The following is a 27783-nucleotide window of genomic DNA, read 5'->3' as shown; positions in this document are numbered from 1 at the left end:
AGGCTGGTCTCGAACTCCTAACCTCAGGTGATCCACCCACCTCAGCCTCCCAAAGTGCTGAGATTACAGACGTGAGCCACCACATCCGGCCCAAAATAAACTTTTGGTCAACACTAAAATTGTAATTCTATTAAAAGCTTGCTTTGCAAACAGACTATGATTACAAGTGACCATTGTTACAAGTGAACAGTAATGTGTCAGGAGGCAGGATACATTTTAAAAATGTATCTTGGCTGGGCACCATGACTCATGCTTATGAATCCCATCACTTTGAGAGGCCAAGGCAGGAAGAATGCTGGAGGCCAGAGGTTCAAGATCCGTCTGGCCAACATACTCTACAAAAATGTTCTTAAAATAGCTCAGTGTGATAGTGCACGCCTATAGTCCCAGCTACTCAGGAGGCTGAGACAGGAGGATCCCAAGCCCACAAGTTCAAGGCTGCAGTGAACTACAATAGCCACTCCAGCCTGGGCAACAGAGGAGGACTCTGTCTCTAAAAAAAATATAAATAAATAAAAGTGTATCTTTACTGCTGTCATAATGTTTGTGAGTAAAACAAGAAAAACAAGTTTAGCACCAAGTTTGTTGCCCCCAGAGCACGCACATGGCCCTCCTACTCCACTTACCCTCCATTAGAATATAGTAGTCTTGGCTGGACACGGTGGCTCATGACTGTAATCCCAGTGCTTTAGGAGGCCAAGACGGGAGGATCATGAGGTCAGGAGATCGAGACCATCCTGGCTAACACGGTGAAACCCCATCTCTACTAAAAATACAAAATTAGCCAGGCGCAGTGGTGCACTCCTGTAGTCCCAGCTACTCGGGAGGCTGAGGCAGGAGAATGGCCTGAACCAGGGAGGCGGAGCTTGCAGTGAGCCGAGATCGTGCCACTGCACTCCAGTCTGGGCTACGGAGTGAGACTCCGTCTCAAAAAAAAAAAAAAAAGAGATTATAGTAGTCTTCCTTCAAGGCGACAAATCCGGGCCTACTTCTTCCCCGGATGTCTTGCCTTAGCATAGGGGACAGAAACACATTTATTCAGCACCCATAATGGCCTGGCCCTGACATAGCTGAGCTGTTCCTATGCATTATCACCTTGAATGACACACACCTTCTACGAGGCGAGTGGTGTTAATGGTCCCACGGCCCTAGACAGAGGCTTACCGCCTAGTGAAAGGATTCCCTTAACTTTCGCATATGCATTTAAAAAGGAGGATTCCCTTTACTTCCCCAGGGCCAGCTGCCTCCACAAGAGCAAGTTTAACAATGGTTTGGAAATAAGATACCCCTGCATTGCCCCCGGGCCCCCTTCCTGGTCGGCTGGCAGTTGGCCACAGTGGGAAGAGGAGGGAGAGGCCAGGATCCAGTTCTGTTGCTTTCCAGCTTCGTGCCCCCCAGGCAAGTTACCTAACCTCTCTGGGCTTCATTTCCTCAACCATTAGATAGTTCTGTAATAAACTTTTCACGTGATTATTGAACTATATGAAATAATATACGTAAAATGCTTAGAACTGGGCTCCACAATGCAACAGCCACTAGCCAGATGTGGCTAGGCCAGATGAGACGTGCTGTAAGTGTAAAAATACACACTGAAGATTTCTTATGGAAAAAGGAATGTAGAAAGTATGATTCGTAATTTTATATTGATTACATGAGAAAGTAAGAGTATTTTGAATATATTGAGTTAAATAAAATACAGTTGATCCTTAAACAGCACAGTTCCATTTATATGCAGATTTTTTCAATAAAAGTTACACTAAGTGTGCCTGTCTCTCCTGCCTCCCCCTCGCCCTCCTTCTACCTCTGCCATTCCTGAAACAAACCCAATCCCTCCTCTTCCTCCTCCTCAGCCTGCTCAATGTGAAGATGATGAGGATGAAGACCTTTATGAGGATCCACTTCCACTTACTAAATAATAAATACATTTTCTCTTTCTTATGATTTTCCTAACATTCTTTTCCCTAGCTTACTTTATTACAAGAATACAGTATATAAAACACATAACATATAAAATATGTGTTCATCAGTTTTTTATGTTATCAGTAAGGCTTCTGGTTAACAGGATATTCGTATTAAGTTTAGGGACCGTCAAAAGTTATACGTGGATTTTCTTTCTTTTTCTTATTTTTCAGAGTCTACTTTCAGAAAATATACATGGACTTTCAACTGCACAGGGAGCTAGTGCCCTTAACCCCTGTGTAGTTCTATGTTGTTTAAATTAATTTCATCTGTTTCTTTTTACTTCCCGTATTTTTTAAACAATTAAATTTTATAAAAATAACAATAGAGACAGGGTGTTGCCCAGGCTGGTCTCTAACTCCTGGGCTCAAGTGATCCTCCTGCCTCAGCTTCCCAAAGTGCTGGAATTATAGGCACGAGCCACCATGCCCGGCCTCTTTTTGCTTTTTTAATGTGTCTATTACAAATCTGAAAACTACGTATGCAGCCCACACTTGTGGCTTGCTTTCTATTTCCATTAGATAGCACTGGCTGAGAACACAGTTCTGCACAATGTTAGTTCTTTATTTCTCCGTCCCCACTCACCAGTCAGCATTGTCTCAATATGGTCAGCACTGTCTAAAATCTTTTTTTTTTTTTCTTTTTGAGACAGAGTCTCACTCTGTCCTAGGCTGGAGCGCAATGATTCCGTTGCGGCTCACTGCAGCCTCGATCTCGCAGGCTCAAGTGATCCTCTCGCCTCAGCCTCCTGAGTAGCCGTGACTACTGGTGTGTGCTACCACACCTGGCTATTTTTTTTTATTTTTTGTAAAGACAGGGTCTTACTATGTTGCCCAGGCTGGGCTCAAACTCCTGGACTCAAGCAATCCTCCCACCTCAGCCTCTCAAAATGTTGGGAGGCATGAGCCACCGTGGCCAGCATAAAACCCTTAATCTTTAGGCTGGGTGAGTTCCTTCTCCTTTCCAGGCCTCAGTTTACCATCCTGAGACAGATGATGAAGAGCAGAATAGGAACTAGGCTTAGAAGACTGGGCTCCAGCCCTGATTCCACCATTACTAACTAGATGACCTTTAGCATGTCATTTCATCCCTCTGAGTGACAGTTTTGTCACTTACAAAACAGGGGGTGACACCCTGGTCATTGCATGAGATAACACGTATGACAGTGCTTGATAAATGCAAAGGACTATAGAGGTCAGGAGGAAGTAGCGTAACGTGCCCAGTGAGGAGGTTGGGCAGTCCTGCCTGCCTCCTCTGATAGTCCATGCCTCCCATATTATATTATTACTTAACTATTTTCCATGTCTCATGTCTCTAAAAACAAATCTCCCCAAGAATACATTTCTTCCTTCCCACCTGCCCGCCTCCAACACAGCCAAAGCACAGTGTACAGACAGAACCCCTCAAACCACCACACAGACCAAGTGTGCTGTGTGAGGTGGTCATGAACAAGCTCAAAGTGGAGATGGCCTTGGAAACAAACTGGCAATACAAGGTGGAAAGTGCAGGATACCAGTGTAGCAGGGACCCAAGCAGAGAGGGGCAAGAAGCGGGGGACACGTATGTAGTGGCCAACAGGAAGGACTCTAGAGTGCAGACATTTGCAAAACAGGAGAGCAGAAAGGTGTGCATGAGCCTGGAATTCTATAGCACGTCATGCAAAGAAAACATCAGGGTATGATGTACAGTGGGCCACCTATGAGATGAGCCCTGTCACCAGAGATACCTGGTTGGTAGGTCCTTCCACAGATGGAACGTCGTTGCCTTCTTGCCTTTGCTACTTCAGGTTCTCCAGCTCACCCATGATCCACTCAAGCAGGTGTGCCGTAAGTTCTTGGAGCTTAAGTACCACCTGCAGCAAATGCGTAACCCTCCGCTATTTGCACAGAGGCTTGTGAGAGAAGAAGCTCCTGTCTCACAGTATGCTGTTCCTATTTTTAGCCAGGAAACAACTCCTAACCACCTACACTCTATCTACCCCCTTCCAAGGCCACAAAGCATGAAAAGCACAAAGCTATGCCATCATGTAGGTAACAGAGCAGGCTTTTCTACATCATAACATGTTTCTTCCTAATTCCAAAATAAGATCCGGATTATTTCTAGTTAAGCTAAGCTGCAAACTCTTACTGTATCAAAAACACAATTGTCTATCTGAGTGGCCCAGGAAAAGCAAATACACAGAGTTTCTTGGGTGAAGATCTGAAGTCAAGGCTTCTACAGCTGACTAGTCCTTCAAATATTACTGCTATTCAATATACTGGTCCTTCAAATAGACTCTGTATTCAAATATTTAAAGAGAATAAAAGAATCTCAAATATCATATTTTTATTTAAAAAGACAAATGATCAGGAAGCAGGTGTTTGTGAGAGGAATGGTACATGCGATGGGAGTAAACACGCACCGATAATATGGCCACTGCACCTGTGGGCCTGTGTCTACCTATACAGAGACAGGGCAGCCACACACCTCACCCAAAGATTATATTTCAAATCAGTGTCCCCGCCCGTGGGAAGTTATTGATTAAAAGCATTTATTAAACAATCTTTTTTTTTTCTCAAGACAGAGTCTCAATCTGTCACCCAAGCTGGAGCACAGTGGCACAATCTCGGCTCACTGCAGCCTCTGCCTCCCGGGCTCAAGCTATTCTCCTGCCTCAGCCTCCCCAGTAGCTGGGATTACAGGCATAAGCCACCATACCCGGCTAATTTTTGTATGTTTAGTAGAGATGGGGTCTCGCCATGTTGGCCAGGTTGGTCTCGAACTCCTGACCTCAGGTGATCCACCCACCTCAGCCTCCCAAAGTGCTAGGATTACAGGAGTGAGCCGCCACCATGCACAGCCTGCATTTTAACAATTTCTTTATTTTTTTTTTATTTTATTATTATTTTTTTTTTGAGATGGTGTCTCACTCTGTCACCCAGGCTGGAGTGCAGTGGCGCAATCTTGGCTCACTGCAAGCTCCACCTCCCGGGTCCAAGCAATTCTCCTGCCTCAGCCTCCCAAGTAGCTGGGACCACAGGTACATGCCACCACACCCAGCTAATTTTTGATTTTTAGTAGAGTCGGGGCTTCACCATGTTGGCCAGGATGGTCTCAATCTCCTGACCTCATGATCCGCCTTCCTAGGCCTCCCAAAGTGCTGGGATTACAGGCGTGAGCCACCATGCCTGGCCCATTTTAACAATCTTAAAGGTCTTATCAATCTATTGCACTTGGATTTTATCTGGATCCTAATTTGAATACACAAACTATTTTAAAACTATACACACCCATATCTATATACATACACTCAAACACTAATATATACACATACACACATATATATATAATAATTGAGGAAAATTGAATATTGACTCCATATCTGGTATTAAGGAATACTTACTTACTTACTTATTTGAATGTGATAATAGTATCTTGTAGTTTTTATTTTTAAAGGGTCTCTTTTTTTTTTGTTTTTGAGAGGGAGTCTCACTCTGCTGCTCAGGCTGGAGTGTGCAGTGGCGTGATCTTGGCTCACTACAACCTCCGCCTCCTGGGTTCAAGCGATTCCCCTGCCTCAGCTTCCTAAGTAGCTGAGATTACAGGCGCCCACCATGCCTGGCTAAATTTTGTGTTTTTAGTAGAAACGGAGTTTCATCATGTTGGCCAGGCTGGTCTCAAACTCCTTGGCCGCCTTGGCCACCCAAAGTGCTGAGATTACAGGTGTGAGTCACTGCGCCCCGGCCTATTTTTAAAGGGTCTCTATCTTTTAAATATACATACTGAAATATCTACAGCAAAAATGAAAAAATAAACAGCTGAATTTGAAGTCAGTTAAAATAACATCTTATTTTGTATGACTATTCATGTGCAGTAAATGAAAGTTAAACAAACAAAAAGTCCCCCCACTTTGAATCACCTATGAAATACAGAATATATGGTCTGTTTATACAGCCCTGAACACTCATATAAAATTCACTCAGTGAATCTAACACAGCTGTGTTAGACTCCAGCCCTGAAAGGGATCAGGATGTGCACCAGAAGAAGTAATTGTCTTCAGTTTACTACCATGTTACACTAAAAAGACAAACATTTAAATACTGGGATCACACCTGGACCAACAAGCTGCTCACCCTACAGAGACTGAGAGAACTCGAATTCATGTCTCCCCACCTGCACTTGTGGGCTTTCAGCTGATCAAGAGGCTGTCAGAACTGTGGGCATTATTTCAATTACTCTCTCTTTCTCTCTCAATCTCTCCACTTTAAAAAAGTTGCTGAGTAGAGCTGAATCGACATATTTTTCTCCTCCAAGGTGAAGCTGTACTAGGCTTCTACTAGTTGATATTTAAGGATTGAAGACAATCTCATCCCAACACATAGAAATATGTGGAAGGCAAGGAGCCTGCCGAGTGCTTCAGGCCACAGAGACCCTCTCTGATGACGAAGTAGAGCCATGTCTACCTACATGCAGCAGCAGAGAGCCCACCATTCAATTGTTATTATGATGATGATTATTATCATTATCATCATTGTTATAAGTATCGCTTACATAACGTAATGTGCTAGGTTTTCTCTTTTATTGTAAATCTTCTGAGTAATGCTGTGGGTTGATTATTTTACAGGTGAAGAGGCTGAAGCTCAGAGGAATCAAATGATTTTCGAAAGACCACACAGCTAGAAAGTGACAAAACCAAAATTCAAATCTAGTTTCCCAGGCCCACCCTTTTCTTTTCTAGCATGCTGCTACTCCTGGTTGGAAAGAAGGGCTTTAAGGCACAGTTATTTACCTAGGCCTCTTAGTTTTCTAAAACATATAAATAAATAAATAAATAAATAAATAAATAAATAAATAAATAAATAAAACTCTGTCAAGTTATCTAACTGAGAAGCAGAGAAAAACTGCACCCCGTGATGCCAAGGGGTAGCTTCTGCAAATCTGCACCTCTGTTTAGTTTTGCTTCCAGCTTCTCTGGCCACCATTATGTCTTCCATCTCGCTAACACGCTTGAGAGAACAGGACAAGACATGCTTGACTTTTTTGTTTAGAATGAAAGACGTACAGGTGACCCTATGCCAAAAACGGGAAATCTTAACTCCATCGGGTCATTCTGGCCACTTAAGAACCAGACTGGATGTTTCTGAGAGTGAACTATCAAAGCATGTGCTCAGCCCAAGGGCCACCAAACAGGGCCCACCAGCAGTGTGCCCTCGAATTAGATTCCTTTAAGAACTTGTTATTTCAACTCCCCATGCAGGTGTTTATCGAGTACCTGCAAAGGCAGCCCCCACCCGAAGCTAAACGCACTAGGGACACAAACACTCAAGTCAGAGTTGCAGCCCACAGCTATGGCCAGGAGACAGAGGAGGGGAGTGATGGGAGGGAGCGGGGAACAGCTGTCCTCTGTCACAGGATCTAGCTGCCGTCAATCCAGGAAGAACTGCACGGGACAGGCAGTGTTAGGCAAGTTAGTAAACAGTTTGCCTCATAAACACTGACCAGCAGTGGAAAATATCTGACCTAGATAGATAGTGGACTGTGAGCACCTTAGGGGCAAGGACCACGTCTAATTTGCTTTTCTGTTCTCAAAAAAGTAGGCCTCAAATATTTGTTGTTGTTGTTTTTGAGACAGAGTCTCACTCTGTTGCCCAAGCTAGCGTACAGTGGTGAGATCTCAGCTCACTGCAACCTCTGCCTCCCAGGTTCAAGCGATTCTCCTGCCTCAGCCTCCGAGTAGCTGAGATTATGGGTGCCCGCCACCACATGCAGCTAATTTTTTTTGTATTTTTAGTAGAGACGGGGTTTCACCATGTTGGCCAGGCTGGTCTTGAACTCCTGACCTCAGATGATCCACCCGCCTTGGCCTCCCAAAGTGCTGGGATTACAGGCGGGAGCCACCGCGCCCGGCCATGTTTTATTTATTTATTTATTTATTTTTTAAGGTCATGATTGTATTAGTCCATTCTCACACTTCTGTGTGAGAACTGCCGGAGACTGGGTAATTTATAAAGGAAAGAGTTTTAATTGACTTGCAGTTCCACATGGCTTGGGAGGCCTCAGGAAACTTACAATCATGGTGCAAGGCAAAGGGGAAGCAAGGCACCTTCCTCACAAGGCAGCAGGAGGAAGTACCAAACACTTAAAATACCATCAGATCTTGTGAGAACTCACTCACTATCATGAGAACAGCATGGGGGAAACAGCCCCCATGATTCAATTCCCTCCACCTGGTCTCTCCCTTGACATATGGGGATTACAATTCAAGATGAGATTCTGGGTGGGACACAGCCAAACCATATCAATGGTCATGTACTACATTTAGAATTTTGGAAGGTATTTATGGCGGGATACTGAAACTGTTTTCACGTACCACAGCAGAGTCTGAAGGGCTCAGTTTGAAGAACTGGATTCCCAACCTCAGGATCGATTTGGCCATATGGGAGGTCAGCTGGAGATGAGGGAGACTGAAAATTGGAGATAACCCCAGAGATGACGGGCAGGTTACCCTCTGTCCTCAGATGGGAGGGGAGGTGGCTGGGGAAAGGATTCCAACTCTGAGTTCTATTGTGGGAAGGTGAGCAGAGTCAAGCTCTGTGGCTCAGTGGAACTTATTCCTGCCCACAAGCTCAACATCTCCACCTCTGCCCCCAGCAGTGGAGTTATGACAGCAAAGGAGACAAGGTGAATAGGGATCACCCCAGAGGATCAGTATGGGATGAGGCCAGCCGGTGAATCACCCACGCTCCCAAGGAACCCACGCCACAGGAACACACACCTCCAGGTGAGACTCGGAGAGGCCAGAGGAGATAAACCCTTGGGAGAGTGAGTGAAATGGCCTGTATCAGTCCATCCAGGGAGGAACCAGAGACACCCTTTGACTCAATGTGTGGAAAGAACCAGCAAGTCTGACATAAAAAGTGTATCAAATAAGAGGTCATTTAGTATCAGGAGCCAAAGCCTCCCTGATCCCCAGTGTGAGTTAGGAACCCTTCCCTGTGCTCCCACAGCACCCTGTACAGACCCCAAGACAGCGCCCCTCACAGTTTCTATGTCCGTTTCCTCTATTAGGGCATGACCTTTCAGAGAATTAGCAACCATCCTAGCCTTCTCTGAAGCCCAGGCACCTACCACACCGCTAGGCCCAGGTTAGGTCCTAAGAAATGCCTTTTGTATGCCCTGAACAAATGAATCATGAATGAGGCATCTCTGGGAGAACCACACTCCACCCAAGGGAAAATAAATACCTGGCCTGGCTGAAAAGTCAAATCACAGCAAGTCCAAAAGAAGGCAACTAGCCAGGTGCTATCTGTCTCTCCCACATCATAAAAGAAATGCTTCAGTGGAAAAATCCTGACCACATGAGAAAAAGAAAAAAGTCAGTTAGCTACCACCAAGCACAAAGGGTAGAAGCCTGGCAAGCTGATTCACGCCAATACTGTGAAACCCGGCCCAGCGGTCTGCAGACAGCCTGGAAGCAGGGGTGGAGGAGGTGGGGAGGCGGACAAGCATGAGAGGGAGTGAGGAGAACTTACTGGAACAAGCATCTAGGTCAGCTGCTCCTGGGTAATGCCAGAAGCTGGTTTATATCCTTTTTTTTTTTCTTTTTTGAGATGAAGTTTTGCTCTTGTTGACCAGGCCGGAGCGCAATGGTACGATCTCGGCTCACTGCAACCTCTGCCTCCCGGGTTCAAGCGATTCTCCTGCTTTCTACCTCCTGCTTTATTTTCTTTATTGAAATTTTTTAGAGGAAATCAAAAAAAAAAAAAAAAAGAACATCCTGTAGGAAGGGATTGGTCTAAGAGGGAGGGATGGGAGAAGGCGGCTGGGGTTGAGGTGAGGTAGAGAACTCTCCTCAGCCCCAGCCAAGGAATTCTTCACACCAAGTAGCTACCCACAGATGACTGAATATAGTCATCAAGTCTATCAATAGTCTATGCCTATCATCACAAATATTAACACCATGGACTGAACATGAACACATGCTAGTGCTGTGCTGCTGGGCAGTTTCTCTCGCTCTAATGATCATTAAGAATCTGGCAGGTGGAAATGAGTCACCTGCATTCAATAGATAGAGATGAGAAGCTTTAGGCCAAGCTTGGTGGCTCACACCTGTAATCCCAGCAATTTGGGAGGCCAAGGCGGGCAGATCACTTGAGGTCAGGAGTTCGAGACCAGCCTGGCCAATATGGTGAAACCCTGTCTCTACTGAAAATACAAAAATTAGCCAGGCATGGTGGAATGTGCCTGTAATCCCAGCCACTGGGGAGGCCAAGGCAGGAGAATCGCTTGAACCTGGGAAGCACAGGTTGCAGTGAGCTAAGATCGCACCACTGCACTCCAGCCAGGGCGACAGAGCAAGACGCAGTCAAGAACTAAGCCACTTGCCCAAGGTCATGGAGCTGGTACAGAGCTAGGATTCAAACCAACTCATCTAACTCCAAAGCTTGTGGCTACAGCACCCAGAGGAAAGACTGCCCCTACAGATAAGGGTGGATAAGGAAGGGTTCCTGTGAAGTAAGAGTGTTGACCGGGACCTTGCTGGAGCAGTGCTGGAAGGACATCCAGGAGGTCCACAGGGTCCCTGAGATCCCTTGGGAGAAGACATGCAAAATCAAATGCCCTCAGTTATTCTGCTATTTTTCAAATAGTAAATGCTACCTGGTGGGCACCTTGGAATACTAATTATCTTACATAAACTCAAATTGATATGTTCTCTATGCTGACAGCAAGTCAAATACACAAAGCTTTTAATCATTAGCTTTGCATCCAAAGCTCAAGCTTTCTGCCAGCTCCCACTAGCCTGCCAACAATGTTATCCAGGTTCCCTCGAACATGGTGCATAGGGCTTCATGCTCTGTGAGGTCTAGCAACACACCATCACAGCTAGAAAAGATCTTAGTGGACATCAGCCCAATCCTCTATCTGATGAATAAAAATCCCCCACTCAGTAGCAACAAAAAGTGGCCAGCCAGCATCTACTTCCACATCTGTAATAATGACAACCCTTCTTTCAAGACAGCCTGTCTGCAGAGAGCAAAATATTAATTAAGAAATGTTTTTATACGTTGGACTGAACTCTTCCCCATTCCCCTAAGTATCCATTTCCTGGTTCTAACAAACGTCTGTTCTTTTTTCCAAAAAACAACCTTTTAAGACTATGGCACTCTTCTAAACCTTCTCTTTTTCAAGCTAAATAGTCTCAGTCTTTGAATCATTCTTTAGATAATATGGTTTCTGAATCTCCTAACTTTTCTGTTTATTGTCCTCTGGGCCTATTTCCATTTGCCCCCCTCACTCTTAAAAGAATGACAATAAGCTCAGTTCCAGGTGTGACCCAATTACTGTAAAACAAGAGGAATGACTACACCTCTACGATGCAAATACTGAAAGTTTCTGGTTAGTTTTTAGTAGCTTCATGTTAATGATTCTCACTTAGTTGAAATCAGGTGCACTAGCCTTTTTTTGTTTTGTTTGGTTTGGTTTGGTTTGGTTTTTTGTTTTGACACAGGGTCTGGCTCTGGCTCTGTCGCCCAGGCTGAAGTGCAGTGGTGTGATCTCAGCTCACTGCAACCTCCACCTCTCGGACTCAAGCCATCCTTCCACCTTAGCCTCCCTAGTAGCTGGGAATACAGGCACACACCACCACCTCCAGCTAATTTTTGTAATTTTTGTAGAGATGGGATTTCACTATGTTGCCCAGGCTGGTCTCGAACTTCTGACCTCAAGTGATTCCCCCCACCTCAGCCTCCCAAAGTGCTGGGATTACAGAGTGTGAGCAACTGATAACCTCACTAACTTTTCTTACAAGTCCTAATCCTTAACCCCACCACCACCCGCCCCCACCACCACCCCCCCACCCCAAAACACACACACAGCCTGGCTTAACCATTGGTATTTGGAGCCTACAGCTAGGTCTTTACATTTATATTGGTGCAGCCTGTCTTTCCTCACTCAGTCCTTCCTGTAAGCTGTTAAATTTATAGGGAATCTCGATTCTGGCATATACAATAGCTTCTACCCCTCTCAGCTTCAAATTTTCCGTCAGTGTGATCAACAAGCCCTTTATGTGTTAATCTAAATCACAGGTTAGAGCTGAGGAAGCATTATCCCCATGACCAACACAAATTAGCACCCGTTAGAGACACTTCCAGAAGCCCTACGTGTAAACCAACTGAACCATCATCCAGTCCACATTTACCATGTCGTCTATGAGAACAGAAATCCTGTTACTGAGGATACAAAGATGTTCACTGTCTAATCGAAGAGTTTTAAGTTAATTACCACCACAACCAATGTCAATTAAAGTGTATGCTTCTGTATCATACAAAAATGCCTGACCACTGAGGAGATACTTGGGATGGTCTTTAACATATAGGCTATATGGCCATATATAAATTTTACTGTGCCGACACCACAAACAGGAACTAAAGCAGAGGTATGAGAAGCTAGGCATGACTGCCAACTGGAAAAGAGGTTACCTTACACCATGGGATATTATGCATACAGAAAAACTAAAGTGCTTTTAAATACGAGCCCCAATAACTCTGTGTCTCAAGTTCTAGCATAAGAAGCAGCAGCAGAAACATATTTATTTAATGATAATAATAATTCCCTTAAATATCATAGTTATCACTTGTTGAGTACTACCATGTGCTATGCATTTTCCATAGGTCAACTCAGTTACTGCCTGATACAGTTGGTTTATAATTATTCCTTTTGAAAATTTAAATTTTATTTCTCTCCCCCTAGGTTTCTCCCATCTCCGTAAGATCTTGAGGACCTTCAACAGCACTTCAGCAAAAAACATTTTCAGGTTTCCTCAGGTAATTCGTTCAACCAACCAACCATCCCTTAGATAAATAAATATTTCTCAAATTCTCCTAAGAATAAGACACTATGCTGGGTGCTGGGGAATCTGGCTGACTTTAAGCAACTACATTTCTTGGCTTTATTTCTTGTGGGCCGTGGGCTTCAATTTTCTCCCCCAAAGGCTTGTTGTATCCTCTCTCCCCATTGTTAGCTGTGGACCTTGGGTAGGTTACCTAAAACACTGATGTAATACCCTTCACTGGATAAGGAAGGTGGTAAGGTATGTATGTGCCTAGCGTAGTTCCAGGGACATAAGATACTTACTAACCTTAGGGGCTTTTCTTTCTTCTTTCTTTCTTCCTTTCTTTCCTTTCTTCCTTCCTTCCTTGCTTTCTTTCCTTTTCTTTCCTTCCCTCCCTCCCTCCCTCCCTGTCTCTCTTTCTCTTTCTTCCTCCCTCCCTCCCTTCCTTCTTTCTTTCCTTCCTTTCCTATGCAGTCTGCCTGACTTCTCTCAGAAATGGTAAGAGTAAAATAGAAGTTGATTGTTCTGTTTTCCCCCAGGACATCTGTGAACATTACATCATTTGCCACCATTAGGGAACTAAGCCTGTATTCACTGTATATCACTTTTTTTTAAAAGGAAAGAAAGAAAACCTTTGGTTCTGAGTATGTTTAGCAAGTCATGGTTCCTTGTTTTTCTTTTTCTCCTGACACTATTCTTTCTATAAAATCCAAAGGAAATGACCTTAGATCATTTAAATTCAAGTTTCAGAGAGGTGGCTCGACTTGCTATAAGATGCATCTGATTTGACATCAGGTTCTTCTGATCGCAAGTCTGGGGTCTTTCCGCCTCATTTGGCCAACTCTCTTGTCCCCTTGCTTCCCCAGACTCACCGTGATATTCCTTTACCTCCATCCAGAACTCAGATAACGTGTCACTCTAGTCACCCTGAAGATTTGCCTCTTGAAAACATAATCGCCGTGCAGTAAAGAGGAGACCAAAATAGAACCACATACAGCTGCCGAAAAGTGCTGAAGAATATGGCGCTAAGGAGAGAAAGACACCACTAGCCAAAGGCAAGTGGATCAAAAAGCAACCCCCTACATTGGACATTCTTGTTATTTTGTTGTGGTGGTGGTGGTGGTGGTGGTGGTCATTGTTGCTGTTGTTGATACAGGGACCTGTCTAAATTCTATAGTATTTAATACTGTATTCAACAAATATTTACTGTTGAATATTTATTGAATACAATATTCAACACTATGTGCCAGGCATGATAGAGGCCTGGACTGAGTAGCGACTCTTTGGTATGAACCAGATATAACTTGCACGATGTTTCACAAGCTGGTTTGGATGTTATTAGCTTAGTGTGTCATTTACCCCATCCCTACTCACACCCGAAACATGATATTTTGTGGAGCTAAAAAAAAATACCTCAAACAAATCACTTCCTCAAACGGCAACCTAATCTCTGCTTCCTTATGGCGGGGTCTCTTGACTTGCTTACACTTCCCCACTTTCTACTGGTTCCTCAAATAACTGAAGTCGGTTCACATCATTCCACTGAAACTGCCTTTCTAATTGCAAAATCTAAAGAGTCCTTTCCAATACTTATTTCAAACAGGCGTCTCTGGGTCTTTTTCAAACTCCCTCCCACTAATGCCTTTCAGGCATCCTCCCCAGCTTAGCCTCCCCTGGGACCAGCTTCCTGCCAGTCCTGAAATGCCCACATACACGGGGAAGATTCCTGCTTCCACATGACCAGCCCCCAGTGACATCTCCCTCAGACTCCAGACCTCGTCTTTTTTTCTTTTTCTTTTTTCTTTTTTTTTTTTTGAGACAGGGTCTCACTCTGCCACCCAGGCTGGAGCGCAGTGGCGCAATCTCGGCTCACTGCAACGTCCACCTCTGAGGCTCAAGCAATCGTCCCTCCTCAGCTTCCTGAGTAGCTGGGACTATAGGCATGCTCCACCAGGACCAGCTAATTTTTTTTTTTTTTTTTTACTTTTTGAAGAGACGGGGTTTCGCCATGTTTCCCAGGCTAATCTCGAACTTCTGAGCTCAAGATGCACCCACCTTGACTTCCCAAAGTGCTGGGAGTGCCTAGCCTCAGATCATATCCTTTCAAAAACTTTTAGAGACCTGCACAAAAGCTTTATATTCTACGCTTACTCACTTTAAAAAAAAATGTATTAAACATTTGCTAAGTGCTAAGTATAATTCTTAGTGCATAGGATACTACAGTGAATAACCCAGATGAAGATCAACACCCTTAGAGTTTTACATACTAGCAGAGGGAGACACTAAGAGCCGTAAATATAACAAATTAAAAAAATTATTTGGTATCTTAAAAGATGCTAAGTGCTTAGAGAACAAAGTAGAGTACAAGAAAGGGGGGATAGGGCCAGGCTCAGTGGCTCACGTCTGCAATCCCAACACTTTGGGAGGCTGAGGTGGGCGGATCACTTGAGGTCAGGAGTTCGAGACCAGCCTGACCAACAAGGTGAAACCCTATCTCTACTAAAAATACAAAAATTAGCCATGTGTCATGGTGGGCACCTGTAATCCCAGCTGCTCAGGAGGCTGAGGCAGGAGAATCACTTGAATCCAGGAGGTGGAGGTTGCAGTGAGCCGAGAACGTGCCACTGCACTTCAGCCTGGGTGACAGAGCGAGACCCTATCTCAGAAAGAAAGAAAAGAGAGAGACAGAGAAAGAGAGAAAGAAAGGACGGAAGGAAGGACGGAAGGAAGGAAGGAAGGAAGGAGGGAGGGAGGGAGGGAGGGAAGGAAGGAAGGAAGGAAGGATGGAAGGAAGGAAGGAAGGGAGGAAGGGAAGGAAGGAAGGAGGGAGGGAGGGAGGGAGGGAGGGAAGGAAGGAAGGAAGGGAGGAAGGGAAGGAAAGAAAGGGGAGATCGGAAGTACTGGGTTGAGGTAGGTTTCCATTTTCCAAAGGGCAGTCAGAGGAGAACTCACTGAGAAGGGGACATTTGAACAAAGAGTTGCAGATAGTGGAGGAATGAGTCCCACAATATCTGGGGAAGCGTGTTTGCGGCAAGGCTCAAGGCAGGAGTGCACTGGTGTGCACTGGTTGGAAGGAAAGGATCAAGGAAGAGGGTACATGGAGACGGGGTCCGGGAGGAACAAACAACGATGTCGGGGAGGTGGAGGAGTCTGGGCAGGGCCTTTGAGGTCTTGGCAAGAACTCTGGCTTTTAGCAAATAAAATAGGAGCTGCTGCAGGAGGCTGAGCAGAGGAACAACCAGATCTGACTTAATATGCCAGAATTGCTCAGGCTGCCATGTGGGAACAGGAATAGGGGGCAGGGATAGTAGTAAGGAGACAGCAGCAGTCCCAGTGAGCGATGCTCATGGCTTAGACCAGCTGGTTGCAGTGGAGGCAGAGAAGTGGGTATATTTTAGACGTGCTTTGAAAATCATGCCCGATATTTTAGATGTGAGTGTGAGAGAGAGAAGAGTCAAGGATGATTCCAAGGGTTGGAGCCCAAGCAACTAGACGGATGGTGCTACTTTAATGGAAAAAGAGGAGACAAAGGAAGAGCAGACCTGGGGGCAGAGGAAATCTGGAGTTCAGCTTTGGATATTCTGAGTTTGAGATGAGACTGTCAAACAGAGCGTAAAGTAGGAAGCCTGATAGGAAAGTCTAGAGGTCAGGGAGAAGGTGTGAGCTGGAGATCCATATTTGGGAGTTATCAGCATGAGAGCTTTTCGGATGTTCTTGATCAGCTAGTGGAATTTTTCTCCACCCAGCTGCATGACTGTTTACTCTGGAGCAAGGATTCCTGGGCGTAAACCTAACTCCTCCACTCCTCAAAGGTCTGATCTTGGACAGGCTACTCAACTGCTCTCAGTGTCTGTATCCCCAAAAGTGCCTACTTCTTTTATTATGAGGAAAAAATGAGGCAATTCGTGTTAATTACCTTGCACATAGTAATAAGCACTCCCTATATAATAACCATTATAATCCCCTCCCTTCCTCTCTCCACCTCTTACTACCTTGCTAAGCTTGGTATCTTCAACTTCCCTTTTTTCTCACCTCATATTCAACTCATCCCTCACCCTGAGTGCCCCTGGATCACTGTCCACGCCAGTGCCTCACTGCCCCTAGAGCAATCCTATAAACAGTGTTGATTCCAACTGAATAGGTCGCAAGCTTCTATTTTCTACTCTCAGAATATTTCTTAAATCTGCCTCCCTCTCTTTGTTTTCTCATTATTTCCCATCTGAGTTCCCAATAAGTTTTACTTAAATCTCAATTATATTCTAATCAAATTAAAATGTCATTTTAATGTGCCTACATGTCTGTCTTCCCTTAAAACCGTAAGCATTTCAACTGCCAAGTAATAATTATCACTGTATCCCTAGCACCTTTATGTCCAGTGCCCAAACCGTGGTAACTATCCAGTAAATATTTGGTGAATGAATGGAAACATTTTATTGGCTAATTATTACCTGCTAGACACTCTGTGAAATTAAAATACAACCATCACTACCATATAAACTACAATTCCTGCCCACAAAGAGTTTTGAGAGACAAACTTAGCGTACCTGAGACAGAAAACAAAGCAGCCAAATAAATGTAATTAGATTACTATTAAAAAGAGAGAATTGGGGCTGGGCGCGGTGGCTCATGCCTGTAATCCCAGCACTTCGGGAGGACGAGGTGGCTGGATCACCTGAGGTCAGGAGTTCAAGACCAGCCTGGCCAAAATGGTGAAACCCCGTCTCTACTAAAAATAAAAAAATTAGCTGGGCATGGTGGCGGGCGACTGTAATCCCAGCTACTTGGGAGGCTGAAGCAGGAGAAACACTTGAACCCGGGTAGCGGAGATTGCAGTGAGCCGAGATCACACCATTGCACTGCAGCCTGGGCAACAAGAGCGAAACTCCTTCTCGAAGAAATAAGACAGAGAGAATTACACACAGACACTTTTCAATTTACGATGTGATGCCATTATATCTGGATAAACCCATCCTAGTTAAACTTAGGGTATGTTCCCTTTGGTCTCAAGCTCAAGGTTGATTAAATGATACACGGTACATGCTCCCTTCCTCTCACTTCCTGTACTCAGTTGTCATCGCTCCTCAAAAGTAGTCAAATTCCTGGCCCTCAATATCTTTGCCATACTGCCCCATAGTTGAAGATACATATTCCCCCTAACTGTCTGCCATGATTCTTGGCATTACTGGGTCTTCACTGAGAGTCACGAGCAACCAACAATCTATCTTACTAAGAAATGACTTGACTAAGGTCATGCTTATCCACATGGAAAAAGGTTAGGAATGATGTGATGTTAGATGGGAATGTAGGGATCTGCCACCCTTTGATGCAATTTGTACATAGCTTTGCTCTGTATCACCAGTCAGGGTAACCAATCTCTAAATTTCTTCCTCACCAAAAAAGGAAGGACTTCCTATTATTCTAATGAGGCAAAATGGTATAAGCATAATAAGTGTTCATTTGTGAGCTACACAGACCTAGGTTTGAAGTCCAACTCCACTGCTAACCTAGGGAAATCTAGTTGAATTTTCTAGGCCCGTTTATTCATTTGTGAAACAATACCAGTGTGACCTGTATCATAGCGTGACTGCTATCATAGAGTTGTTAGGAGAATTAAATGAGAAAATAGATGTAAAGCACCCAGCACACAATCACTGTGCACAGTGGCAGCTATTATTATGGATTCTAACTCCCAGATAATCATGGGTCTTAGTAAAGGAGGTATTCAAGGGTGGTCATTCAGAGGGTTTCCTTCAGCTTTAAGCAGTGTTTTATAAAGTGCTCTTAGTCTGTAAGAAAGCTTCTGCTGAGTTTTGTCATCAAAGCTGAGGTTGGAAATAGGTCAATGGACCAGGATAAGGGTTGAGTCTTTCTCCCAGCTCTGATGGAACAATATTTCCTGACTGCCTTCAGTAATTTATATGCCCAAAAATGGACCTTGAGAATTCAAAAATAAGATAAGACTTGGAATGCTAATAAGAGATAACAAGACATCATCAGTCTCCCTGAGGAAAATGAAGTGCCTTAGTGTATTGGTGGCATGACAGCGGATCTAGATGCTCTGAAGCTACAGAGAAGACTTCATGCAGGTTACCCACGGTACAAGGCAGTAGTGATGGCCCTCAAATATCTGCTGTCTTCTACCTCTGCCATCCCTCTGTTAAAGCAAATAAGAAGGAGGCCGTTAGCCTGAGGTTGTCTCCATAACCAGAGCTTCTACATAAGCAAACCAAAATCCAAATCAATGTAAACAGTAAAATGTAACTAGAGGCTTCACCAATCAGAAACCACCAACTAACCTCTAACTAGGGTCTTCCCACTCTAATAAAATATATTTTCTTAGCCTTCTTTCCACGTTCAGCCTACAAAAGCTCACTGTCCTCACTGCGGCAGCAGAGCTCTCTGAACCTCTTCTGGTTCTGAGTGCTGTCCAATTCACACATGGTTCTTTGCTCAGATGAACTTTGCTACATTTATTTTCTCTAAAGTTTTTCTTTTAACACCTCCTGCCTTCTTCCTTGCTTTGCATAGCTGCTCTACTCCACCTCTTCTAGAATATTAACACACCCAAAGCCCTCCTCAGTGCACAAATGTCCTCTGCAGCTGCATGTATACAGCAGACACTGACTGAGGAATGGGTCCCTGAAGAACAGCTCAGCCATCACACCCAACACGTGATGGCACTGATTGCTTGACCACTAGTGACAGGGACCTATAAAGGCACACATCCCACTTGCAGATAGTTTTGAGTTTAGAGTATTAGAGTATAGATTCATTGATCCAGAATCTATTTCCCCTTGACTTCTATCTTTTTTTTTTTTTTTTTGAGATGGAGTCTCTGTCACCCAGGCTGGTGTGCAGTGGGGTGATCCTCACTGCAACCTCCACCTCCCAGGTTCAAGTGATTTTCCTGCCTCAGCCTCCCTAATAGCTGGGACTACAGGCACTTGCCACCTTGCCTGGCTAATTTTTTTTTTTTTTTTTTTTTTGTAATTTTAGTAGAGAATGGGTTTCACCATGTTGGCCAGGATGGTCTCGATCTCTTGATCTCGTGATCCACCTGCCTTGGCTTCCAAAAGTCCTGGGATTACAGGCGTGAGCCACCGCGCCCATCCGACCTCTATCTTTAAAATCTAGTGTCAGGACTAATAAGCTTTTTAAAGACGTATATTCTTTCACAATAAGCTGTCCTTTCAATTCATTTATATTATAATACTAACAGCTAACATTTCTTGAGGGCCAACCATGAGCCACAACTTACAGGCAGGAAGGCACAATATAGCGTTTCTTAAACTTGCCAGATCCTAGTATCATCCAGGGTGCCCGCTGCATCCACTGCTCCCCAGGCTCCACCCCAGCTGGGCTGAATCTGAATCTGAGACAGGGCCTGGGAATTGCTCTTTTAACAAGAGTCTCAGGTGATTCTTAGGATCAGGCAAATTGTAGACCAATGGCACAATGGTTAAGGTGTGACATATCAGGATCCATGATCTGATTCCATCATCGTTTGTTTTATGGCTTCAGGCAACTTACTTAACCTCTCTGAACCTCAGTTACGTATCTGGAATTTCAGAATGATGACAGCATCTGCCTGTAGGGTATACGGAGGAATAAATGAGATAATGGTCATCAACCACTTAGCATAATGCCTGGCACATAGTAAGCTCTCAACAGTATCACCAACATCACTGACCTGATTGGTGCTATAAAAGCTGCATCCCTATTATTTTTGCTCAGTGCTACACAATTAGCAATTAAAGTGCCCGAGACCAGGATTTAAACTCATACCTGACCATCTCCGAAGCATTAAGCACCTACACAGCAACTTCTCGGAAGCCTTGGCAGCAGGGGAAGGAGAAATTAAACAGGCAGGGGGCCCGGTGGCATAGAACAACCCACATATTCAGGTACTGGCTCCAAATTCATGTTTGAATTCAGCTCACGTTGCATTCTTAGGAGCAGCTATTACGCAGATGCTACAGCCAGAAGGATGCCCCCGAGCACTATGTATTAAGGAAGGAAAGTTTGTCTTGGACTTCCTCCTGTCTCTGTTTCGACTCCTCTTCTACCCCTACCCTCCTTTGGGGACCATCCAAAATCCCCACTTTTTCTCCAGGTCTGCCCAAGGAGTTCCTCTCTTGGGAAGCAGATCAGGCACAGAGTTTGAGTCTGGCCTGGAGAACAGGGAAGACCTAAGCTTCACTTCCCAACTGTAAGGCCTCCCACTGTTACTTCACCCCTGGGACCTTCTCTCAATAGGTCCTAGGCTCATTTGCAGTAATGCTCCAGGCAGAGTGCATAGCTCACTGGTCAACTAATCAATAACGCTAGGCCTCAGGGTATCACCTCTCCTTTCTCTGAATTCCCCCAACCTAACCTAACATTTCAGTTAAAGTGGGGCCACCTGTGACTCACACTTTATATACAGTTTGTTTTACAATGAGCCCTCATTCATTTGTTCACACAAATATGCCCCAAATACAGATGATACAGAAATAAATAGGGCCCAGCTCCTGCTGCTGAGGTCTTAGAGAAAAGACCATAAACTAGTGGGTGGAAAATCATGTAAAGCATTAAAAACTAAGGGCCGAGGAGGTGGTGCCAACTCTACTAGAGGAAGTCAGAAGTCAGAAAAGGTAAAGTTCATCCTGGGTTTTGAAGTTTGAACAGGAGTTCACCAAGCAGAGCAAGGCATGCCCAACAGAGAATAGCAGTGCAAAGGCTCAGTCATGAAAGTGGCCCATTGTGTTCAGGGATGGGGAGAAGCTGTGAGGTGGGACAGGGTATAAGGGCTGCAGTGATGAGAAATGGTCTTCGACAGGACATCTGCTCCAGACAGAGGTATTTCTAGTCCCAATTTATCCTGCAAGCAACTGGGACTGGTGGAGGTTTTCTAAGCAAGCAAATAACATTATTAGATTGTTTTCTCTAAACTCCGTGGTGTGCTCCCAGCACTAAAAAGGAGCTTTGATGGAGCACGAAGAGGTGAAGAGGGGCCATTTCCGTGAATAAAGGAAAGGGTGCCAGAGACCATCTTTTCTGGCTCCTGGTCTGGCCTGCAGCCCCACCATCCACCCAGCTAACCCCTGGCTCAGCAGATAGTGAACTCTGGTCAAGTCCCTCCTGGAACACCAGGCTCCAGAAGCTGTTAACAGAGTAACGTGGAGAGAGAGGAGTGGGAACCAACTGCACAGATAAACTGAGGAGGAGTCAGAGAAATATGATGTGTCTAGTGGCTCACAGCATCCTGAAAGGGGCAGGAGCTTCCAGCTAGATAGACTATGTTCAAATTCCACCTCTACCTTTACTACCTGGCATAACCTTGGGTAATTCCCTTAACCTCTCTGAGACTGTTTTTTCTTTTTTCTTTTATTTTTATTTTGACACGGAGTCTCGCTCTGTCACCCAGGCTGGAGTGCAGTGGCATGATCTCAGCTCACTGCAACCTCTGCCTCCTGGGTTCAAGCGATTCTCTAGCCTCAGCCTCCCAAGTAGCTGGGATTACAGGTGTGCGCCACCACGCCTGGCTAATTTTTGTATTTTTAGTAAAGATGGGGTTTCACCATGGCCAGGCTGGTCTCGAACTCCTGACCTCAGGTGATCCTCCCACCTTGGCCTCCCAAAGTGCTGGGATTACAGGCATGAGCCACCACGCCCGGCCGAGACTGTTTTCTTATCTATTAAATGGCAATAACAAGTCCCATTCACTTCAAAGGCTTGTACTGAAAATTAAAACTATTTCAAGTGATGAGGATAGTGACCACTACAAGGAATAATGGCTCTCTAAATATTATTAAACTGATTATTAATATCTTCATTTTTATTTTATGTGTCTTTTATATGATGTGATAAAATCCCTCAGGCTAAAAGATCTTCAAATACAGCAGGCCCCTGGAGGCACGGGATGGAATTAGCCCTCCTGAGGCGCTCAGAGGACGGCTGTGTCTCCTGCGTGAGACTGATCAGTTCCTTCCAAGTTGCCTTCCGCCCTCCTTGGCTGCCTGCAGTTTCTGTAGGATCATATTTCCCACCTGACCCAGTGGGCCCAGGAGAGCTGTGGGCCTTGTAGCTCTGAGCTTTTCAGAGGTCTCACATGACAACCTGGCAGGGTGCAGCTGTTCCCGGCAAGGGCATTAATAATACAGGCCTTCTTCCGCAAACTCTGGCCAACAGTCTAAAATGACAAGTGAAAACACTGAGTCCAAATTCTCCCTGGGGCTTAGGGCAGAGGAAGCCAAAATAGCTCGCCTTTATCAGGGCTAAATCGTGGAACTAAATCAGGGTTCTGCTAGCGGTGGTGGCTAAGGGAAACCGCTGGTGATAAAAGCAAAGAAATGGGGGAGAAGCCGTGGGGGAGGGAGCCACAGTCACACTCCTTACAGAATAAACTATCTCGCCTAGGGGCAGTTTCAGCAGAAGGCTTCAGAGACCCCCGGAAGCAGACAGAAAGAAGTCCACATGCCTTGCTGGCTGAGGAGCAAATCGGGTCATGAATTTCATCTCAGCAATAGCCAATAAACACAGCAGCTGCTATACCCAGCCCTGAGACATCTAGCACAGGAGACTTTATAAAGAACAAGCCGATCTCCTCTGGCAAGCAAGCCACAAATGGAGAAGGTCTTGGCAGGATTTTTGTGTCCTTTATTCATATGGTATCAGCACCTAAAACAGTGCCTGGCATTAAAGCACTAGGTAAATATGAGTGACTGAAGAAATACATGCGTGGGGAGAGAATATAAACCAGCAGCACCAGTTAGTAACTATACAAAGGTAAGCAAGCCATTCAGTCTCTAGGAGCCTCTATTTCTTCATCAGGAAAATAGGGTAATGACACCTACTTTGAAAGGGTCTTATAAGAATTAAGGCCGGGCACAGTGGCTCATGCCTGTAATCTCAGCACTTTGGGAAGCCAAACTAGGTGGATCACTTGAGGTCAGGAGTTTGAGGCCAGCCTGGCTAACATGGTGAAACCCTGTCTCTACCAAAAATGTAAAAAATAGCCGGGTGTGGGGGCACATGCCTGTAGTTCCAGCTACTTGGGAGGCTGAAGCAGGAGAAGCGCTTGAACCCGGGAGATGGAGGTTGCAGTGAGCCGAGATAGTGCCACTGCATTCCAGCCTAGGCAACAGAGCAAGACGCTATCTCAAATAAAAAAAAAAAGAATGAAATAAAATGATGTATGTAAACACCTCTAAAACAATGCTTGGTAGAAGTAGGCACTCAGTAAATGGACTTCAATCTTCAGCTACAAATTTGACCTCAATCCTCAGCTATAAATCAGACCTCAACTATCAACTCTCTGTTTCCAATTCTTACGGAGGAGGGGAAGGTTGGGGGAGGTGAATAAAAGGAGAGCGTAAACCAACTGAAGATGAGAAATCAAAGGAAAGCAAAGGAAAGACCCACAAGGTCACACCTCACTGGATGACCTTGGACAAGTCAGGTACTTTGCTGGGTCTCAGAGTTCTCTGTGGTAGGATGCAGGGAGGTGAGTTTGATCTGTGGTCTTGAAACTGTGTGCAGGAACTCTAGCGAGCCCGTGGAGACCCTGAGGGGCTGTCTTGGGGTGGGGAAGAAGGAGACCAGTGGGTCCCGAGCAGTTGCAGGCAGTTTCCTATGGGAGGCTGGGAGGCTGTCCTCAGAAGAAACAGTCCCACACTTGGTCCAGTTTGTTGTAAACTAATGCTTTCTCCGAGGTCCCCAGTTCCTCCCAGGGCCAGGATTGGGATGAGGTAAGGGAGGTCTCACCCTAGTCCCAATCGTGAGTCCCCCAGACCTCCTTCAGTGCCAGCCTCACTCACTTCTGTGGCGTTTGGCACAGCCAGCCACCCTCTCTGGAAGTCTCTCTCCACTGCCTGCCCTGGCACTGCCTTTCATGGGTACAGTGTTCTGTTTCTCTCCATCTCTTTCGCTGGATCCTCTCCTTCCTCCTGGGCAAGAGAAGTAGAACAAGAGGGAAGAAGTGGATGGGAGAGTACAAAGAGGCCATGGAAGAACACACTGTGGGGAAGTTCAGTTGTGGACAGGCAGAGGGAGACTGGTTGAACAGCAAAAGGCAGATGGCCAGGCAGGTACGAACCTCAGGGACAGAGAAGAATCACTCCCCATCACCTGGCAGAACTTTCTCTCCCCTGCACTTCTTCTTTCCTTGCCTCAATGCCCCTGTCCAAGTCAAGTCCACATCATCTAATACTAGGACCCTCACAACAGTCTCCCAACCCATCCCTTGCTTATCTTCTCACAAAAGATTAATCTCCTGAAGTCCAGCTCTGAATCATTAAGCTCCTCCTCAGACACTGAAATTGCATCTTCCATGTTTACTCCATTAAGTGCAAATGCCTCTCAGTCTAGTATACAAGGCCATACTCCCACTCACTCCCCAGCCTCCAAGCAACACCCACCGTGCACACAGGCACCCGCTTCCCTGGATTCACCCTGGCCACCGGCCCTGACGTTGCCTGCACTCCTTTCCTCCCTCAGCGCACCCTCGCCCCAATTTCACCTGTCAAATCTTTGCACTGTAAACAGCAGACCCACGCTCCTCTTTTCCAAGATCCTGCATCCAGGCCTGCCAAAGCCCAGAGCTATTTGTAGATGTTGGCGAGGACACGTCTCTCTGTCTGCTCAGTCAATAATTCACTGCAATACCAGGTATTGCAAAAGAAGGCCTTTGCCTTGCCTTCCAATAAGAGTTACAGGGTAGAAAGCAGAAACCTGCCCTGCAGCTGCCATGAACCCCACCTGAGCAGGCAAGTTAGGCTACACTTGACAGTGGAAGCTCATCAGCCACAGTGAAGCAGCCCCCACCACTTGTTTATTTATTTATTTCCCTTTGCACCCAACCCTGCTGTGGGCGCCCCCCCCCCAACCAGGCTCTCAGTAAATACTAATTGAATTAATTAATTAATTAATGAGATCTTCCTGCTGGGAGCACAGAACTAATCCCATAAAAACAAAAATAATTCTCCTGTCTTTTGCATCTAAAGCTGACCCCACTAATGACGGAAATGTTCTATAACTGGATTGTGGTGACAACTGCACAGCTCAGTAAGTTTACTAAAAAAAATCACTGAATTGTATACTTAACATGGGTTGATTTCATGGAATATAAACTGTACCTCAATAAAGTTGTCTTTAAATATCTGTATGATGATCAAAACCACCATGGTCCATGGTGGCTCACTGTTCGGCTGAGTGATAAAGTGAGTTATGAGCTAACCCAAAAATAAACAACAGAAAAGATGCTCCGGGTCTGTAAGGTGTGGGATCCAAGCTCAGTCGGTTCCTGCAGTATCGGCAGCACCTGTGGATGGTTGGATATGGGTAATCTCAAGGAACGGTCTAGGCTGTTGGAGGCGGGGTGAGGGCCCTGGGGTGGCCAGGCGCCTGGTCAGCCTATAGTCAGGATATAGCATAAAGTGGACTGATCCTACTGAATCTTCCACACTGGCCTCTCCAGTGGCCCAAAGCTAGAGAGTCAAACCCCAGGATGAAATCACTTTCCCGAGGAAGTATCTATCCACTGGCTTCCCAGGCTGTGGTTCATTCACGCAACACCACAGAGCTTCCTCCACAGCAACCCCCACAATTCACGGTTTCACATTTGATTGTGTTACTATTTAATTAGCATTTGTCTCTCTCTCTTTAGCTCACATGCTACAGGAGGTCAAGCGCCATGGCTCATGTGTTCACAGTGCCCAGCACAGAGGCAAGCACACAGTAGGTGTTCATTTAAAAAGTCGATTGAATGCTGAATGAGTGAATGGACACTCTTCGCTGACTGAACTTGGGTAAGGCACATGTCCCGTTTTCTTTCAGTGCAGCACTGCCCTACAGCTGGGTGTTCATGAAGAGGGCCTCCAGGAGAGGAGGAGAGGCAAAGAGTTAGGAGAGGGAGCCAACACTCCCTAAGACACTTCTCCACTTTGCCCTCACAACAATCTACAAACCAGCTATTATTATTGCTCTGTCTACAGGTGAGGCAACTGAGGCATTGCAATTGGAACTCAGATCTGTCAGGCTAGAAACCTCTCTTTCCCAGACACCCCTGATGGGCAAGGGTGAGATGAAGTGGATGGGAGTCTCTACAATGCAGTCAAGGTTACTGCTGCACAGGCAGGGGGTTGAAAATCTGAGGGCCAGTGCAATCATGTGCTATCCTCCAAGGTCCAGTCCCCTGTGTCATCCTCCTCCTGCCTCTTCCTGCAGTATATGTGAGCCAGCCCTGAGTGCACAGGAGACTCAGAAAACAGAAGAGGGCCGGGCGCAGTGGCTCACGCCTGTAATCCCAGCAGTTTGGAAGGCCAAGACGGGCAGATCACGTGAGGTCAGGAGTTCAAGACCAGCCTGACTAACATGGTGAAACCCTGTCTCTACTAAAAATATAAAAATTAGCTGGGCATGATGGCGGGCGCCTGCAATCCCAGCTACTCAGGAGGCTGAGGTGGGAGAATCACTTGAACCCAGGAGGCGGAGGTTGCAGTGAGCTGAGATTGTACCATTGCACTCCAGCCTGGACAACAAGAGCAAAACTCCATCTCAAAAATAAAAATAATGAATAAATAAATAGAAGGGTATCTTCCCAGCGGTGATCCAGAGCCTGAGCCCACTCACAACTGGGGAGCCCATGGCCAATGCAGGTCTCCAAAGACCTCTCCATTCCCCCTGGAAATACACTCACTTCTCAATACTCCATTTCCCATCTCAACATCCCAAACTGCTCCTGTCCCAGAGAAAGCTCATGGCAAATCCTCCTCTTCTTCCCACATGCTCCTAAGGGGAGACACCAAGGTGTTTGCCCAGCTATAGGGCAGTGCTACACTGAAATCAAACAGGGAGTATGTGCCTTACCCCAGTTCGTCAGTGAAGAGTGCCCACTCACTCATTCAGCATTCAATCAACTTTTTTAAATAAACACCTACTATGTGCATGCTTCTGTGCTGGGCACTGTGAACACATGAGCCGTGTTATGTGGCGTCATGTGTGTGCCACATGAGGTTCTATCCACCCTAGTGCAG

The 27783-nt window shown here is 45.5% G+C and overlaps 1 protein-coding gene and 1 long non-coding RNA gene across 3 annotated transcripts in view, besides 10 other annotated features; one reads left to right on the top strand and one right to left on the bottom strand.

Annotated features, from left to right (window-relative positions):
• ST6GAL1 (ST6 beta-galactoside alpha-2,6-sialyltransferase 1) overlaps positions 1-27783 on the bottom strand; it is a 148028-nt gene that overhangs the window by 78195 nt on the left and 42050 nt on the right. The gene's annotated exons all lie outside the window — the stretch shown is intronic.
• Positions 208-1098: an enhancer, noted in NCBI's record as "OCT4-NANOG-H3K27ac hESC enhancer chr3:186717049-186717939 (GRCh37/hg19 assembly coordinates)". NCBI's record gives its function as "activates a minimal SCP1, AML or CMV promoter by ChIP-STARR-seq in naive H9 embryonic stem cells {active_cell/tissue: H9 hESC(naive)}" and the evidence as "EXISTENCE:reporter gene assay evidence [ECO:0000049][PMID:30033119]".
• Positions 1099-1989: an enhancer, noted in NCBI's record as "OCT4-NANOG-H3K27ac hESC enhancer chr3:186716158-186717048 (GRCh37/hg19 assembly coordinates)". NCBI's record gives its function as "activates a minimal SCP1, AML or CMV promoter by ChIP-STARR-seq in naive H9 embryonic stem cells {active_cell/tissue: H9 hESC(naive)}" and the evidence as "EXISTENCE:reporter gene assay evidence [ECO:0000049][PMID:30033119]".
• Positions 2573-2682: an enhancer, noted in NCBI's record as "active region_20951". NCBI's record gives its function as "activates an Ori minimal core promoter by ATAC-STARR-seq in GM12878 lymphoblastoid cells {active_cell/tissue: GM12878}" and the evidence as "EXISTENCE:reporter gene assay evidence [ECO:0000049][PMID:35858748]".
• Positions 3033-3112: a silencer, noted in NCBI's record as "silent region_14991". NCBI's record gives its function as "represses an Ori minimal core promoter by ATAC-STARR-seq in GM12878 lymphoblastoid cells {active_cell/tissue: GM12878}" and the evidence as "EXISTENCE:reporter gene assay evidence [ECO:0000049][PMID:35858748]".
• Positions 3443-3922: an enhancer, noted in NCBI's record as "active region_20950". NCBI's record gives its function as "activates an Ori minimal core promoter by ATAC-STARR-seq in GM12878 lymphoblastoid cells {active_cell/tissue: GM12878}" and the evidence as "EXISTENCE:reporter gene assay evidence [ECO:0000049][PMID:35858748]".
• Positions 3443-4038: a biological region, named in NCBI's record as "Sharpr-MPRA regulatory region 4195".
• Positions 3744-4038: a silencer, noted in NCBI's record as "tiled region #4195; HepG2 Repressive non-DNase unmatched - State 23:Low". NCBI's record gives its function as "represses a minimal TATA promoter and a strong SV40 promoter by Sharpr-MPRA in HepG2 cells {active_cell/tissue: HepG2}" and the evidence as "EXISTENCE:reporter gene assay evidence [ECO:0000049][PMID:27701403]".
• Positions 5407-17062, top strand: LOC124906314 (uncharacterized). The gene is made up of 3 exons (XR_007096208.1): positions 5407-8719; positions 12688-12761; positions 13668-17062. It is a non-coding gene; the product is annotated as an uncharacterized LOC124906314 (long non-coding RNA).
• Positions 9224-9518: a silencer, noted in NCBI's record as "tiled region #11729; HepG2 Repressive DNase matched - State 23:Low". NCBI's record gives its function as "represses a minimal TATA promoter and a strong SV40 promoter by Sharpr-MPRA in HepG2 cells {active_cell/tissue: HepG2}" and the evidence as "EXISTENCE:reporter gene assay evidence [ECO:0000049][PMID:27701403]".
• Positions 14149-14278: an enhancer, noted in NCBI's record as "active region_20949". NCBI's record gives its function as "activates an Ori minimal core promoter by ATAC-STARR-seq in GM12878 lymphoblastoid cells {active_cell/tissue: GM12878}" and the evidence as "EXISTENCE:reporter gene assay evidence [ECO:0000049][PMID:35858748]".
• Positions 23979-24860: an enhancer, noted in NCBI's record as "H3K27ac-H3K4me1 hESC enhancer chr3:186693287-186694168 (GRCh37/hg19 assembly coordinates)". NCBI's record gives its function as "activates a minimal SCP1, AML or CMV promoter by ChIP-STARR-seq in naive H9 embryonic stem cells {active_cell/tissue: H9 hESC(naive)}" and the evidence as "EXISTENCE:reporter gene assay evidence [ECO:0000049][PMID:30033119]".

This window comes from Homo sapiens, chromosome 3 (genome assembly GCF_000001405.40).
Source record: "Homo sapiens chromosome 3, GRCh38.p14 Primary Assembly".
NCBI lineage: Eukaryota > Metazoa > Chordata > Mammalia > Primates > Hominidae > Homo > Homo sapiens.
Note: the sequence above shows the minus strand (reverse complement) of the source record. Positions and strands in the feature narration are given on the sequence as shown.